The 18,097-nt window shown below is 39.6% G+C and overlaps 1 long non-coding RNA gene across 3 annotated transcripts in view, besides 2 other annotated features; it reads left to right on the plus strand.

The window, feature by feature from the left end:
* Positions 3,681-3,730: a silencer, noted in NCBI's record as "silent region_18075". NCBI's record gives its function as "represses an Ori minimal core promoter by ATAC-STARR-seq in GM12878 lymphoblastoid cells {active_cell/tissue: GM12878}" and the evidence as "EXISTENCE:reporter gene assay evidence [ECO:0000049][PMID:35858748]".
* Positions 3,751-3,850: a silencer, noted in NCBI's record as "silent region_18076". NCBI's record gives its function as "represses an Ori minimal core promoter by ATAC-STARR-seq in GM12878 lymphoblastoid cells {active_cell/tissue: GM12878}" and the evidence as "EXISTENCE:reporter gene assay evidence [ECO:0000049][PMID:35858748]".
* LOC107986781 (uncharacterized) overlaps positions 3,756-18,097 on the plus strand; it is a 73,782-nt gene continuing 59,440 nt past the window's right edge. For all 3 annotated transcript variants that reach the window (XR_001745159.1, XR_001745160.2, XR_001745158.1), the window contains exons 1-2: positions 3,756-3,956; positions 6,748-6,802. This is a non-coding gene — a long non-coding RNA (uncharacterized LOC107986781). The remainder of the gene's footprint in view (positions 3,957-6,747; positions 6,803-18,097) is intronic.

The raw sequence follows: 18,097 nt of genomic DNA on the forward strand, positions 1-18,097 counted from the left end.
AATGAAAATAAAGATCAATATATCAAAAATTTATAGGATGCAGCTAAAGCAAAACTTATAGGAGAATTTATCATTGTAAATGTCTATATTCAGAAAGAAGAAAAATTAAAAAACTTGTATGTAAATGTTTCAAGCAGCATTCTTCATAATAGCCCAAAGTGGGAACAACCCAAATGCCATCAACTGACAGATGAACAAATGTGCTATATGGTACAATAGATTGTTAATTGGCCAGAAAAGGGAATGAAGTACTGATACCTTCAAAAGCATGGATGGATCTTGGAAATGCTATGCTAAGTGAAAGATGCCAGTCACAAAAGAATATACATTATATGATTCCATTCATGTGAAATTCCAGAACAGAGAAGTCTACAGAGACAGAAGGTGGAATAGTAATTACTTAGGGCTGAGGGAGGACGGGGAGGTGGATACAGGGATAATTGCTAAGGGTATGAGGTTGCATTTTGAGTTGATAAAATGCTCCTAAATTGACTGGGGTGATAAGTGCAAATATCTGTGAATATACTGAAACCATTGAAGTGTACACTTTAAGTGGGTGACTTGGTTGGTATCTGAATTACATATCAATAAAGTTGTTTTTTAAAAAGTTAAAAAGTGTTTAGAAACATTGCTGTAAGTACCTTTGAATACACATGAGTCAGACATATTTGGGAGGATCTGTAAATTCAGATTTAACCAATATAATAATATTAAACATTAAAAGTTTAGTTTTACTCATCTTTATCCAATGTAAACTGTATTTTATACTAATACTATAATAGAATAAGCTCCACTTTTTATATTTAACGTCTTCAGCATTTTCTAATATTTCAATTCAGTTTTTGTAATTAGCTATTTTAAAAGTCTGTCTACAATTTCAAGGAGTGAATTTGCTGAAGTTTATGTAGTAATTCTCCCTATCCCCTGTAAGAAATTGTCAAACCATTTTCCAAAGTGGTTGTACCATTTTGCATATCCACCTGAAATATAACAGAGTTCCAGCTGCTCTACATCCTCATCAGCGCTCTATGTTGTTAGCTTTTAAAAAGCTATTCTGGCCAGGCACGGTGGCTCATGCCTGTAATCCCAGCACTTTGGGAGGCCAAGGCAGGTTCGAGACCAGCCTAGCCAAACATGGTGAAACGCCGTCTCTACTAAAAATACAAAAAATTAGCTGGGTGTGGTGGCAGGCGCCTGTAATCCCAGCTACTCGTGAGGCTGAGGCAAAAGAATCCCTTGAACCACAGAGGCAGAGGTTACAGAGGCAAAAAAGTCACTTGAACCCCAGAGGCTGAGGTTGCAGTGAGCCAAAGTCACGCCATTGCACTCCAGTCTGGGCAACAAGAGTGAAACTCCGTCTCAAAAAAAAAAAAAAAAAAAAAAAGCTATTCAGCTATTCTAATAGGCGTGCAGCAAGATCTAATTATAGTTTTGATCTGCACTTCTCTAATTATGCTGATGAATATCTTTTTATGTGTTTATTTGCTACTCATATCTTTTTGGCTAAATATCTGTTCATGTCTTTTTCCAGTTTTTCTAAAAGTTGGCTAATTTGATTTCTTATTGAATTGTGAGAGTTTTTAAAATCCATATTATTTATACAAGACCTTCATCAGATATGTGATTTACAAATATCTTCCCCCAGTTTGTTGCTTGTCTTCATTGTCTTAACTGTATTTTTAGAAGAAAAGACTTTTAAAATTTTTGTCTAATTTATTAACTTTTAATTAATTAATTTTGCTAATTTTGTTTTCAGGGACTATTTTTGTGTGGCAGGAAATAGGGAGATATTGAAGAATTTTGAGCAGGGGATCAACATATTAAAAGAGACATTAGGATAAAAATTGGTTTGATTGTAGACAACAATTTAAATTGAAGTAGAAATAAATCTAGGGTAAGAGAAATTAGCTGTTACAATAAATTAGGCATGAAATAAATGAGGAATTTAGGTAAGTATGGTAACAACCAGAATTATACCTTATTAAAATTTCATCTATCTGCTTAACTAGAATCTGCTAATGATTGAATAGATTTTCTTATAGCCAGGGTTACTTCGGATGACTCCAAAGGGAAATCCAGAGACTTCCCTGATCAGCAACATGAGGAGGCCCCCAACCTCCTTAATCCTATTTGGCCAGTTCCTCCAATGCCCTTTTTAAGAAAATGTGTATCATGGTTTTCCATGCAGTCAGGAAACATAAACTTTCTAGGATGCAATTTAGTCATAATGCTTATATCTATTAGTTATTGCTATATCACAAACCACTTCAAAAGTTAGGGTCTTAAAACAACCATCAGCCGGGCGCCGTGGCTTGCTCCTGTAATCCTGGGCCGAGGCAAGCAGATCACTTGAGGTCAGGAGTTCGAGACCAGCTTGGCCAACGTGGTGAAACCACATCTCTACTAAAAGTATAAAAATTAGCCAGGCATGGTGGTGGGTGCCTGTAATGCCAGCTACTCGAGATGCTGAGGCAGGAGAATCACTGGAACCCAGGAGCGGAGGTTGCAGTGAGCTGAGATCGTGCCACAGCACTCCAGCCTCGGCGACAGAGCAAGGCTCTGTCTCAAAAAAAACAAAAACAACCAACCAACCAACCAACCAAACAAAAAACAAAACCGTTGTTTACTTAGCTCATGATTCTGAAGATTTGACCATTTGGGGTGGGAACAGCTGGGTTCTTCTGGTTCCTTCTGGGTCCTCTACTTGGCTACAGATGGCTTTGTTGATCTTGGCTGAGCTCTCTCAAATGTCCTGGTGCCTTGGCTAGCTTATTGAAGCCCAGGCTTAGCATTAACAAGTGCCTTCCATGGTATTTAATTGGACAAAGTAAGTCAAAGGCAGCCCAGATTCAAGGAGTGCATACAAGGAGGGGAATAATCGTAGGCATTTTTGCAAACAATCTGCTTCGGTGCTTATCTTCAGACCTGAGATATGGTCATGTTTGTGACATTCCTTGGAAAGAAAAGCATCCTAGAGACCTTTCTAGGAGTTACTGGTGAAGGAAGTATTTAGAAGATAAACTTTCATTAAATTCATTGTAGCAGGATCTGGGAATTAGGATCTCAAGGGGAAATCCCAACTCTTGTTGTTTGCTTCCCGTAAGAATAAGAAACAGCAGCATTATCAAGTGCTGTACTTTACTACAAATATTAACCGGCAACAATTGACCCTCTCTGGGACTTTCCATTTAGTTATTTACTGGAAGCTGTTCTGTAATTTTCAGCAGTGCTGTTATCTATGAGATTACTTTTCTTTTAGCTGTGCTGGGTTTTCAGACGCATTAATATAGCTTAATATCTCTTCCTGTTGCTTCTCTAATTAAAAGCTTGTTGGATTTCCAAATAAGAAATAACATACACAAGCACTGGTAATTCAGGCTGCTAATAATTGGGAGAAAAACTTCAGCAAGGAACAGCATCAACCAGGCATGAGGGATCTTATGATCCGGCAAAGAAAGAGGCCTAGGAGTCTGGGGAGGATTGCAGGGCAGTGATCTGGCTCTGAGCAGCTGGCCTCCCTGAGAGGGGCTGCTGCCGATGAAGGACCGCCAACAGACAGCCTGAGTATAGTGCATGTGCCCTGTCCCAAGATGGATGTTTGAATCCTGGATCCAAGAGAAGAGCTCATGTCTGTTTTTCCAATCACTGCTTGTATCCTTTCCTGCTTCCCCAAGTCCCTCATTCCTCTCCTCCCGGCGGCTTTTGCCCTCTTTGGTCCAGGCCGCAGGAAACCGTTCCTCTAGTTCTAACAATCGGCCACTAGATGGCACTAGATGTTCGGATTAAAGTGCCTTCCTGAGCTCCACGGGCCCAGGGCGAGGGCAGGCAGGGTCTGAAGACAGCTTCTCTCGGCCACCGTCATTCTCTCTCCCACTTCGCTCTTCACTTCTCATCCCTTCCTCATCCCATTTAAACATTAGATTCCTTCCAGCAGCGGTGTTTGCGTGATTTCAAAGGTAGGGAAACCGTGTGTTTCGTATGGTGGGGTGCCGGTGGAAGAAAGGGAGTTTGTGGGTTCCACAAGAACCTTAGGTGCCCGCTAAGGACACAGATCGAACTCCAGGCAAGAAAGGCACAGCGACTGCTTCCCTCTCTCGCGCCATGAGCACTGGCCTCTCTTAAGCAACCCCGCTGAGCTGTTGAATAGACCCCTCACACTGTTACTTCAAAAACTGAATTCTTGGTTGGGCGCGGTGGCTCATGCCACCCAGCACTTTGGGAGGCCGAAGCGGGTGGATCACTTGAGGTCAAGAGATCAAGATCAGCCTGGCCAACATGGCGAAACCCCGTCTCTACTAAAAATACAAAAGAAATTAGCTTGGCCTGGTAACAGGCACCTGTAATCCCAGCTACTCAGGAGGCTGAGGCAGGAGAATCGGTTGAATCTGGGAAGCAGAGGTTGCAGTGTGCCAAGATCGCGCTACTGCACTCCAGCCTGGGCGGCAGAGTGAGACTCCATTTCAAACATAAATAAAATAGGCCTGGCGCGGTGGATCACGCCTGTAATCACAGCACTTTGGGAGGCCGAGGCGGGCGGATCACGAGGTCAGGAGATCGAGAACATCCTGGCTAATACGGTGAAACCCCGTCTCTACTAAAAATACAAAAAATTACCTGGGCGTGGTGGCGGGCTCCTGTAGTCTCAGCTACTCGGGAGGGTGAGGCAGGAGAATGGTGTGAACCCGGGAGGCGGAGCTTGCAGTGAGCCGAGATGGCGCCACTGCACTCCAGCCTGGGCGACAGAGTGAGACTCCGTCTCAAATAAAATAAAAAATAAAAAAAAATAATAAAATCACATCAAATAAAACACAAAAATTGAACTCTTCCTTCTCTCCACCCTCTCTCATCCCAATCCATTCTTCTTTTTATAGTTCCATCCTCACTGATGTGAATTTTTTGTTTGTTTGTTTGTTTTCTGAGACAAAGTCTCTCTCCATCACCCAGGCTGGAGTGCAGTGGTGCGGTCTTGGCTCATTGCAAGCTTCGCCTCCCGTGTTCAAGCAATTCTCCTGCCTCAGCCTCCCGAGTAGCTGGGACAGGGCCCGCCACTACACCCAGCTAATTTTTGTGTTTTTAGTAGAGACGGGGTTTCATTATGTTGGCCAGGCTGGTCTCGAACTTCTGACCTCAGGCAATCCACCCACCTCGGCCTCCCAAATTGATGGGATTACAGGCGTGAGCCACCGGGCGGTCTCATGTCACCTTTTAACCTAATCATTTCTGGAAGCTAAAAGTCATCCTGTTTTCTTACATAAGTCTAGCGCCTTTTCCAATCTGCTACCATAATGCTCCCTAACTTCATGTCTGCCCCCACCCCTCCCTTTCCGTTTGTACTGAATAATGGCGCCGGTTTTGGGATCATCTATTTAATTACACAAGCCCTGGTATTCACACTGGGGATACAGCAGTGACTTCCAAGCTGAAACTTTAAGGATGAGTTGAAGTTAGCCAGGCAAATAGGGGTAACAGCATTCTTGATAGAGCAGATTTCAGCTGGGAGTGACTCTGCCTGGAAGGAGCCATTTGACAATATCCATAGACATTTTTGGTTGTTACGCTCTGGGGAAGGAGTGGGGTTTTCTCCTGACATCTAGTGGGGAAATCCAAGGATGCTCTAAACATCCGGCGATGCCCAGGACAGTCCCCCCACAACAAATATTAACTTCCAAATATTAGTAGTGCTAAGCTTGAGAAACCCTGTAATAGAGAAAGCTGCAGAGAGAACATGGCTTTTTTGAGAAACTGAAAGTTTTCTTAGAATGGGAATGAAGGTTGGGAGATGTGACTAGGGACCGTGGTGTGCAGAGCTGCACCTGGGAGTTTGTACTCTCTCCCCAGGCCAATGGAAGTAACTGGAGATATTGGAGCCACTGGAGACTCTATTCCAAGGGCCATTGAAAACCATTGATAGGAGGTATGGACCCTCACAAATATGTGAATGAATAGGCTCCATTTCTGTCATGGGTTTGAACCAGGCCTTCTTGTCCAGACCTCTGTAAATCAATATTGATATGCTATCAGCCTTCTGAAATAAACCATAAGTGTAATATTCACTTACTTCATAAACAAGCAAATACAGTAATTGAACTTGTGTGACAAAGCACTGTTCTATGCTTTTCAAAATGATTTTTACTTTTCATCATCCTGATGTGTCCAGAATCGGTTCCTTCCAGTGGGTTCTCGGTCTCGCTGACTTCAAGAATAACGTTGCGGACCCTCGCGCTGAGCATTACAGTTCTTAAAAATGGTGTGTCCAGACTTTGTTCCTTCAGATGTTTAGATGTGTCTGGAGTTTGTTTCTTCTGGCGGGTTCGTGGTCTCGCTGCCTTCAGGAGTAAAGCTGCAGACCTTCCCAGTGAGCCTTACAGCTCATAAAAGTGGCGCAGATCCAAAAAGCGAGCTGCAGCAACAATTATTGCAAGGAACAAAAAAACAAAGCTTCCACGCTGTGGAAGGGCATCCGAGCAGGTTGCAGCCGCTGGCTTGGGTGGCCTGCGTTTATTCCCTTACTTGGCCCCACCCACATCCTGCTGACTGGGCCATTTTACAGAGAGCTGATTGGTCCATTTTACAGGGAGCTGATTGGTCCGTTTTGACAGAGTGCTGATTGGTGCATTTACAATCCTTTAGCTAGACAGAAAAGTTCTCCAAGTCCCCACCCTACCCAAAAGCCCAGCCAGGTTCACCTCTTGCCACAGTCCTCTGTAATAAATATCTTTTTTGTTTTTTAAATCCTTATTTTTTCAGGTAAGGACACAGAAGCCCAGGGAATATAAGTAACCTCCCAAAAATCGCACAGCAGGTAAGTAATAAGGTCGAGAGTTTAATCCAGAGCTGCAAGATGGCAGAGTCCAAGTTCACAGCCATAAGCTATACTGTTATTATGCTGTTTTGCCATTATTTCCAAAGAGTAACAAAAGGAAATGATCACCCATCTTTTATATATTTCAAGGCTACTATTCATGTCTTTTATATATGTCGAGGCTACTATTTCAGTAGCCTTGAAAATAGAACATAGATTTAATGTACTTTCTTAGAAAACTTTGTTCTATGTGTATGCATTTTTTGAATAGTATAATCCAATAATAGTTGGAAAGAACTTGAAAAAAATACACTCCACATACTTATGGTCATAAAAAATAAGTATTGAATTAAAAAGTTAGGAGTAAAATAATCGAACCCAAGAAAAGCAGAAAAAATAAAAGCAGAAATGTATATGTTAGAAACTAGAAACATTTATAGAAACTAAATAAATGCATGAGTTTGTTTGAAAAATCAGAGAAATATATAAACTATTAGGTCATCTAATCGTTTTTTAAAAGGAATACCTAAAACCATGTATTAGAAATGACAATGTAGAACTAATTGCAAAACCAGAGGAAAGTAAATGAACCAGCATAACATGATTTTTGCTTAATATTTACAAATATACCTATATGAAATTGGTTGACATTATAGGAAAATATGAAGTAACAAAATGTATCTTTTTTTTTTGAAATGGAGTCTTGCTCTGTCTCTCAGGCTGGAGTGCAGTGGCGCCATCTCGGCTCACTGTAACGTCCGCCTCCCGGGTTCACGCCATTCTCCTACCTCAACCTGTATCTGGGACTACAGGCGCCCGCCACCACGCCCGGCTAATTTTTTGTATTTTTAGTAGAGACCTGGTTTCACCGTGTTAGCCAGGATGGTCTCGATCTCCTGACCTCGTGATCTGCCCGCCTCGGCCTCCCAAAGTGCTGAGATTACAGACGTGAGCACCGCGCTTGGCCTTTTTTTTTTTTTTTTTTTGAGACAGAGTCTTGATCTGTCGCCCAGGCTGGAGTGCAGTGGTGTGATCTCGGCTCACTGCAGGCTCCGCCTCCCGGGTTCAAGCAATTCTCCTGTCTCAGCCTCCCGAGTAGCTAGCACTAACAGGCACTGGCCACCACGCCCAGCTAATCTTTGTCTTTTTAGTAGAGACGGGTTTCGCCTTGTTGGTCAGGCTGGTCTCGAACTTCTGACCTCAGGTGATCCACCCGCCTCAGTCTCCGAAAATGCTGGGATTACAGGCGTGAGCCACCGCACCCGGCCCAAAATGTATCTTAAAAGAGTTAAAACATATATAGGCCAAAGACAGTAGAAGAAATAGAGAAATTTGCCAAAGAGTTACTGCTAGCCTCCACAAAATGCACCAGGCCCAGATGATTTCATGAAACTATATGACCATAACTTTGCTGAACATGGAACTTTAATGCACTTTAAATATCTGCAGAATAGAATGGAAAAAAAGAAAAATCCTTCACATTCATCTGATGATGTGAAAAACATGCTAATATCAAGCCTGTCAAAGAGGAAATAGAAAATGATAGATAAATCTTTATTTTGAATATTGATGTAAAAATTGTGAAAAGAATTCAGTAGCAGATCGATGCAAATAATATTCCATGAATTGTGTTTATTCTGATAATGTTAGAATTGTTCAGTATTAGGAAATGTGATGGTTAATTGTGTGTATCAACTTGGCTGGGCTCAGTTTCTAGATAGTTGGTTAAACATTATTCTGTGTATTTCTATGAGAATGTTTTTGGATGAGATTAACATTTATTTTATTTTATTTTTTTCTTTAAAAATTTTTTATTTTTAATTGTGAGTATGCAGTAGGAGTACATATTTCTGGGGTACATAAGATATTTTGATACAGGCATGCAATGTGTAATAATTACATTAGGGTAAATGGGGTATCTATCCCCTCATGCATTTATCCTTTGCAATACAAAAAGTCCAATTATACTCTTAGTTATCTTAAAATGTATCATTAAATTATTATTGACTATAGTCACTCTATTGTGCTATCAAATACTAGGTCTTATTCATTCTTTCTACTTTTTTGCACCCACTAACCATCCCCACATTCCCCTCCCCCTCCTGCCCACCCCTCAGTCCAATTAGCCTTCCCAGCCTCTGGTAACCTTCCTTCTACTCTCTAGCTCCATGAGTTTCATTGTTTTATTTTTTAGCTCTCACAAATAATTGAGAACATGTGAAATTTGTCTTTCTGTGCCTGGCTTATTTCACTTAACATAATGATCTCCATTTCCATCCATATTGTTGCAAATGACAGGCTCTTATTCTTTTTCTATGGCTGAATAGTCCACAATTGTGTATATGTACCACATTTTCTTTATCTGTTTGTGTGCTGGTGGAACTTGGGTTGCTTCCAAATCTTGGCTATTGTGAATAGTGCTGCTGTAAACATAAGAGTGCAGATATCTCTTTGATATACTGATTTCCTTTTTTGGGGGTATATACCAAGTAGTGGATCATATGGTAGCTCTAGTTTTAGTTTTTTGAGGAATCTCCAAACTGCTCTCCATAGTGGTGGTCTTAATTTACATTCCCACCAACAGCGTACGAGGTTTTCTCCACATCCTCGCCAGCATTTGTATTGCCTGTCTTTGGATAAAAGCCATTTTAACTGAAGTGAGATGATACGTCATTGTAGTTTTCATTTGCATTTCTCTGATGATCAGTGATGTTGAACACGTTTTTATATGCCTGTTGCCCATTTGTATGTCTTCTCTGAGAAATGTCTACTCAAATATTTTGCCCATCTTTTAATTGGCTTATTAGATTTTTTTCCTATAGAGTTGTCTGAGCTCCTTTTATATTTTGGTTATTAATCTCTTGTCAGATGGGTAGTTTGCAAATATTTTAGCCCATTCTGTGTGTTGTCTATTCTCTTTATTGATTGTTTTCTTTGCTGTGCAGAGGGATTTTTTTTTTAACTTGATGAGTTCCCATTTGTCCATTTTTTTCTTTGGTAGCCTATGCTTGTCTGGTATTACTCAAGAAATCTTTGTCTACTCCAATGTCCTGGAAAGTTTCCCTCATGTTTTGTTGTAGTAGTTTCATAGTTTCAGGTTTTAGATTTAAGTCTTTAATCAACTTTGATTTGATTTTTGTATGTGGTGAGAGTTAGGGGTCTAGTCTGATTCTTCTGCATATGGATAGCCAGTTTTCCTAGCACCATTTATTGAAGAGACTGTCTTTACCCCAGTGTATGTTCTTTTTAAAAATGAGTTTGCCGTAGGTGTGTGGATTTGTTTCTGGGTTCTTTATTCTGTTCCATTGGTCTATGTGTCTGTTTTTATGCCAGTACCATGCTGTTTTGGTTACTAAAGCTCTGTAGTATAACTTGAAGTCAGGTACTGTGATTCCTTCAGTTTTGTTCTTTTTTCTCCAGACAGCTTTGGCTATTCTGGGTCTTTTGCAGTTCTATATAAAATTTTTAAGATTTTTTTTCTATTTCTGTGAAGAATATCATTGGTATTTTGATAGGGATTGCACTAAATTTGTAAATTGCTTTGGGTAGTATGGACATTATAACAATATTCATTCTTCCAATCCATGAACATAGAATATATTTCCATTATTTTCGTGTCCTCTTCAATTTCTTTCATCAGGATTTTATAGTTTTCATTACAGAGATCTTTCACTTCTTTGGTTAAGTTAATTTTTAGGTATTTAACTTTATTTGTAGCTTTTGTTAATGAGATTACTTTCCTCATCTCTTTTTCAGATTGTTTGCTGTTGGCATATAGAAATGCTACTGATTTTTGTATGTTGATATTGTATCCTGCAAGTTTGCTGAGCTTGTCTATCAGTTCTAATAGTTTCTTTGTGGAGTCTTTAGGTTTTTCCAAATGTAAGATTATATCATCCTCAAACAGGGATAATTTGATTACTTTCTTTTCAGTTTGGATTTCCTTTATTTCTTTCTCTTCTGTGATTGCTCTAGCTAGGACTTTCAGTACTGTGTTAAGTGACAGTGGTGAAAGTGGGCATCTTTGTCATGTTCTACACCTTAGAGGAAAGGCTTTCAGTTTTTCCCCATTCAGTATTATACTAGGTGTGGGTCTGTTGTGTATGGCTTGTATTATGGTGAAGTATGTTCTCTCTATACCCAGTTTTTTGAGAGTTTTTATTATGAAGGGATGTTGAATTTTATCAAATGCTTTTTCAGCTTCAATGGGGATAATCACATAGATTTTTTTCTCCATTTTGTTGACACGATATATCACATTGATTGATTTGTGTATGTGGAATTATCCTTGCATCCCTGGGATAAATCCCACTTGGTCATGATGAACGATTTTTTTAGTATTTTGTTGAATTTTGTTTGCAAGTATTTTGTTGAGGTTTTTTGCATCAATATTCATCAGGGATATTGGCCTGTAGTTTTGTGGATTTTTTTAAAAATGTGTATTTGTCTGATTTTGGTATCAGGGTAATACTGACTTTGTAGAATGAGTTTGGAAGTATTCACTCTATCTTTTGAAGTAGTTTGAATAGGATTGGTATCAGTTTTTCTTTAAATGTTTGGTAGAATTAAATAGTGAAGTTGTCAGGTCCCAGGCATTTATTTGCTGGGACACTTTTTATTATGGCTTCAGTCTCATTACTTTTTATTGGGCTGTTCAGGTTTTGGATTTCTTCATGGCTTAATTTTGGTAGGTTGTGTGTGTCTAAGAATTTCATCCACTTCTTCTAGATTTTCCAATCTATTGGCATATAGTTGCTCCTAGTAGCCACTAAAGATCCTTTGAGTTTCTGCAGTATTGATTGTAATGTCTCCTTTCATCTCTGATTTTATTTATTTGGATCTTTTTACTTTCTTTCTTAGTCTGCCTGAAGGTTTGTCAATTTTGTTTATCTTTTCAAAAAACCAACTTTTTGTTTCATTGATGTTTTGTAATTCAATTTCATTTACTTCTGCTCCGATCTTGAATATCTCTTCTAGTAATTTTGGGTTTGGTTTGGTCTTGCTTTTCTAGTTCTTTAAGATGAATCATTAAGTTATTTATTTGAAGTTTTTCTTCCTTTTTGATGTAGGCACTCATAGCTATAAACTTCCCTCTTAGTACTGCTTTCATTTTATCCCATAGGTTTTCTTATGTTGTGTTTCCATTATCATTTGTTTCAAGACATTTTTCAGTCTCCTTAATTTCTTCATTGACCCACTGATCATTCAGGAGCATATTGCTTAATTTCCATGTGTTTGTATAGTTTCCAAAATTTCTCTAGTTATTGATTCTAGTTTTATTCTATTGTGGTCAGAGAAGATGCTAGATATTATTTCAGTTATTTTGAATGTTTTAAGACTTGTTTTATGACCTAACGTGGTCTATCCTTAAGAATGATCCATGTGCTGTGGAGAAGAATGTGTATTCTGCAGCCATTGGATGAAATGTTCTGTAAATATCTATTAAGTCCATTTGGTCTATAGTGCAGATTAAGTCTGATGTCTCTTTATTGACTTTCTGTCTGGGAGATCCATCCAATGAGGAAAGTGGGTGTTTAAGTCTCCAGCTATTATTGTATTGGGGTCTATCTCTGTCTTTAGCTCTAATAGTAGTTGCTCTATATATCTGGGTGCCCCAGTATTGGGTGCACATATTTTTACAGTTATTGTATCCTTTTGCTGAGTTGACTTCTTTATCATTATACAATGACCTTCTTTGTCTCTTCGTACAGTTTTTACTTGAAATCTATTTTGTCTGATGTAAGTATAGCTACTCCTACTCTTTTTTGGTTTCCATTGGCATGGAATATCTATTTCCATATCTTTATTTTCAGTCTATGTTTGTTTATAGGTGAAGGGTATTTCTCATAGGCAGCAGGCAATTGGGTCTTATTTTTTTTATTTTTTAATTTTCACTCAGCCACTCTGTGTCTTTTGATAGGAGAGTTTAGTCTATTTACATTCGGTGTTATTATTGATAAGTGAAGACTTACTGCTGCCATTTTGTTATTTGTTTTCTGGTTGTCGTGTGGTCTTCTCTTCCTTCTTTTCTTCCGTCCCATCTTACTTTTAGTGAAGGTGATTATTTCTGGTGGTATGATTTAATTTTTACTTTTTATTTTTTGTGTATCTGCTGTATGCTTTTTGATTTGAGATTATGATGAGGCTTGCAAATACTATATTATAATCCATTAATTTAAAGTGATGACAACTTAACACTGATTGCAGAAACAAATGAACAAAAAGGAGACATACTCTACAAAACTCCCCCACTTTTAATCTTTTTATTGCTTCTATTTATATCTTATTGTACTGTCTATATCTTTAAAGGTTGTTGTAGTTATTATTTTTGATTGGTTCATCTTTTAGTCTTTCTAACAGTAGTTTACACAGATTAATTACAGTGTTATAATATTCAGTGTTTTAGTGTTTTTCTGTGTCTTTGCTGTTACCAGGGAGTTTTGTACCTTCAGATGATTTCTTATTGCTCATTAATGCCCCTACCTTCCTTCCTTCCTTCCTTCCTTCCTTCTTTCCTTCCTTTTCTTTCTTTCTTTTCTTTTCTTCTCTTTTCTCTTTCTTTCTCTTTCTTTCTTTCTTTCTTTCTCTCTCTCTCCCTTTCTTCCTTCCTTTCTTTCTTTCTTTCTTTCTTTCTTTCTTTCTTTCTTTCGTTCTTTCGTTCTTTCGTTCTTTTGTTCTTTCGTTCTTTCTTTCTTTCTCTTTCTTTCTTTCCCTTCCTTCCTTCCTTCCTCCCTCCCTACCTCCCTCCCTCCCTTTCTTTCTTTCCCTCCCTCCCTCCCTTCCTTCTTTTGGCTTTCTTTCTCCCTTTAGCATTTCTTTTAGGACACGTCTGGTGTTGATAAAATCCTTCAGCTTTTTTTTGTCTAAGAAAGTCTTTATTTCTCCTTCATGTTTGAAGGATATTTTCACTGGATATAGTATTCCAGAATAAAAGTTTTTTCTTTCAGCACTTTAAATATGGCATGCCACACTCTCCTGGCCTGTAAGATTACACTGAAAAGTCTGCTGCCAGATGCATTAGAGCTCCATTGTATGGTATTTATTTCTTTTCTCTTGATGCTTTTAGGATACTTTCTTTATCCTTGATCTTTGGGAGTTAGATTATTAAATGCCTTGAGGTAGTTTTCTTTGGGTTAAATCTGCTTGGTGTTCTATAACCTTTTTGTACTTGAACACTGATCTTTTCCTAGGTTGAGAAGTTTTCTGTTACTATCCCTTTGAATAAACTTTCCATCCCTGTCTCTTTCTCAACCTCTTCTTTAAGGCCAATAACTCTTGGATTTGCCCTTTTGAGGCTATTTTCTAGATCTTGTGGGCATGCCTCATTCTTTTTTATTTTTTCTTTAGTCTCCTCTGACCGTGTATTTTCAAATGGCCTGTCTTCAAGATCACAGATTGTTTCTTCTCAATCAATTCTGCAATTAAGAGACTCTGATGCATTCTTCAGTATGTCAGTTGCATTTTTCAACTCCCGAATTTCTGTTCAATTCTAATTATTTTAATCTATTTGTTAAATTTATTGATAGAATTATGAGTTCCCTTTCTGTGCTATCTTGAATTTTATTTAGTTTCTTCAAAACAACTATTTTGAATTCTCTGTCTGAAAGGTTACATATGTCTGTTTCTCCAGGACTGGTCCTTGGTCCCCTATTTAATTCATTTGGTGAAGTCATGGTCTTGATGCTTGTGGATGTTTGTTGCTGTCTTGGCATTGAAGAGTTAGGTATTTATTATAGTCTTCACAGTCTGTGCTTGTTTGTACCCATCCTTCTTGGGAAGGTTTTCCATGTATCTGAAGGGACTTGGGAGTTGTAGCTAAGTTGTATGTGCATTAGGGGGCACTCCAAACCCAGTAATGCTGTGGTTCTTGCAGACTCATAGAGGTACTCATAGCAGCCTTGGTGGTCTTGGATACAACCTGGAAGAATTATCTGGATTACCAGGCAGAGATTCTTGTTCTCTTCCCTTACTTTCTCCCAAACAAACAGAATATCTCTTTCTGAGAGAGCTGAGCTAGGAGTGGGGTGACACAAGCACTCCTTTGGACACAAGTTCCAGGCACCACCACTGGGACTGCACTAGGTCAGACCTGAGGCCAGCACAGTGCTGCATCTCACCCAAGGCCCACTGTAACCACTAATTGGCTAACATCTATGCTCACTCAAGGTCCTAGGGCTGTACATTCAGCAGGTGGCAAAGCCAGCCAGGCTTGTGTCTTTCCCTTCAGGGTGGTAAGTTCCTTCAGTTTCTGGGCAGGTCCAGAGATGCCATTTGGGAGCCAAGGCCTGGAATCAGGGACCACAAGAGCCTGCTTGGTGTTCTACCCCACTGTGGCCAAGCTGGTACCTAAGGTACAAGACTAAGTCATTTTTTACTTTTCCCTCTGTTTTATTCAAGCAGAAGGAGTCTCTCACCATAGCCACCACAGCTGGGAATGTGCTGGGTCTCACTTGAAGCCAGCATATCTCAGAACTTCACATAAGGCCCTTGACATAGTACCTGGATATTGCTGCTGGTTCTTCAATGCCCAAGGGCTCTTTAGTCAGCAGATGATGAATCATCCAGGACTGAGCCCTTCCCTTCAAGGCAACGGATTCCCTTCTGGCCTTGGGTGTATCTAGAAATGTTGTCTGGGTGCTAGGGCCTGGAATGGGGGCCTCATGATTTCCTAGTGCCCTATGCTACTGTGGCTGAGCTGGTATCCAAGATGCAAGATGAAGTTCCCTTCACTCTTCCATCTCCTCTCCTCAAGCAGAAGGAAGGAGTCACTTTTGTTACTGTGAGCTGTGCTGCCTGGGGTTGGGGGAGGGGTGGTGTAAGCACTCCCTTAGCCACCCTAGCTGGTGTCTCAGTAGGTCATGTGCCCCCCATATTCACTAGCTCTGGGCTCAGCACAGCACTAGGATTTGCCTAGGAATTGCAGTCCTTATGGCCTAAATTGCCTTTCAAGTTTATTTGACACCCCAGAGCACTTTAGTTCACAGTGGAGAGGCTTGCGAAAACTCAGGTTCTGACCACTAGGAGTGGTGATTCCCCTCTGGGAAAGGCTGGTCTACATGCTTCCTCCATGGGCGGGCATCAGCTGAGTTTAGCCCAGTTTTGCTTTCTGCCGTGGCAGGGCAGCACTGAGTTCAATGCAGGCTCCCACAATCACTGTGCTCTCCCTTCCCCTACTGCACAGATTATCCGCACCACACAGCCACTGATGGGGGATGTGGGGAGGGTGGCACTGGGGAGTCAAGACTGTCTTTCCTACCCTCCATAGTGCCTCTTTCAGTGATATGAAGTTAAAACCAGGTGATGTGATTGCTCACCTGATTTTTGGATCTAATGAAGGGGCTTTTTTGTATAGATCGTTGTTAAATTGGTGTTCATGTGGGGTGGCGGGGAGAATGGTGGAGGCTTCTATTCAGCCATCTCGCTCTACCCTCTCTCTGAGATTAATGTTTAAATTGGTGGACTTTGAGGAAAGCAGATTACTTTTTACAATGTGGGTGAGTCTCATCCAATCAGATGAAGGTCTGAATAGAACACAAAGACCAACCCTTGCCCACGTAAGACAAAGAGGAGCTGGTACCATTCCTCCTGAAACTATTCCAAACAATTGAAAAAGAGGGACTCCTCCCTAACTCGTTTTATGAGGCCAGCATCATCCTGATACCAAAACCTGGCAGAGACATACAAAAAAAGAGCACTTCAGGCCAATATCCCTGATGAACATTTATGCAAAAATCCTCAGTAAAATACTGGCAAACTGAATCCAGCAGTACATCAAAAAGCTTATGAACCATGATCAAGTCAGCTTCATCCCTGGGATGCAAGGCTGGTTCAACATACACAAATCAATAAACATAATCCATCACATAAACAGAACCAATGACAAAAAACACATGATTATCTCAATAGATGCAGAAAAGGCCTTTGATAAAATTCAATATCCCTCCGTATTAAAAACTCTGAATAAACTAGGTATTGATGGAACATACCTCAAAATAACAAGAGCTGTTTGTGACAAACCCACAGCCAATATCATACTGAATGGGCAAAAGCTGGAAGCATTCCCTTTGAAAACTGGCACAAGACAAGGATGCCCTCTCTCACCATATTCCCTTTGAAGCATTCCCTTTGAAAACTGGCACAAGACAAGGATGCCCTCTCTCATCCTATTCAACATAGTATTGGAAGTTCTGGCCAGGGCAATCAGACAAAAGAAAGAAATAAATGGTATTCAAATAGGAAGAAAGGAAGTCAAATTCTCCCTGTTTGCAGACGACATGATTGTATATTTAGAAAACCCCATCGTCTCAGCCCAAAATCTCCTTAAGCTGATAAGCAACTTCAGGGAAGTCTCAGGATACAAAATCAATGTGCAAAAATCACAAGCATTCCTATATACCAATAATAGACAAGCGGAGAGCCAAATCATGAATGAACTCACATTCACAATGCCTACAAAGAGAATAAAATACCCAGGAACACAGCTAACAAGGGATGTAAATGACCTCTTCAAGGAGAACTATAAAATAATATAAATAAGAGAGAATACAAACAAATGGAAAAACATTCCATGCTTATGGATAGGAAAAATCAATATCGTGAAAATGACCATACTGCCCAAAGTAATTTATAGATTCAATGGTATTCCCATCAAGCTACCATTGACATTCTTCACAGAATTAGGAAAAACTACTTTAAAAGTCATATGGAACCAAAAAAGAGCCCGTATAGCCAAGTCAATCTTAAGCCAAAAGAACAAAGCTGGAGGCATCATGCTACCTGACTTCAAACTATACTACAAGGCTACAGTAACCAAAACAGCATGATACTGGTACCAAAACAGATATATAGACCAATGGAACAGAATAGAGACCTCAAAAATAAGACCACATGTCTACAATTATCTGATCTTGGACAAATCTGACCAAAACAAGCAATGGGAAAAGGATTCCTTATTTAATAAATGGTGTTGGAAAACTGGCTAACCATATGCAGAAAACTGAAACTGGACCCCTTCCTTACACCTTATACAAAAATTAACTCAAAATGGATTAAAGACTTAAAGGTAAAACCCCAAACCACAAAAACCCTAGAAGAAAATCTAGGCAATACCATTCAGGACATAGGCATAGGCAAAGATTTTATTACGAAATCACCAAAAACAATTGCAACAAAAGCTAAAATTCACAAATGGGATATAATTAAACTAAAGAGATTCTGCATAGAAAAATAAACTATCATCAGAGTTAACAGGCAGCCTACAAAATGGGAGAAAATTTTTGCAATTTACCCAACAAA

This window comes from Homo sapiens, chromosome 7 (genome assembly GCF_000001405.40).
Source record: "Homo sapiens chromosome 7, GRCh38.p14 Primary Assembly".
Classification (NCBI taxonomy): domain Eukaryota; kingdom Metazoa; phylum Chordata; class Mammalia; order Primates; family Hominidae; genus Homo; species Homo sapiens.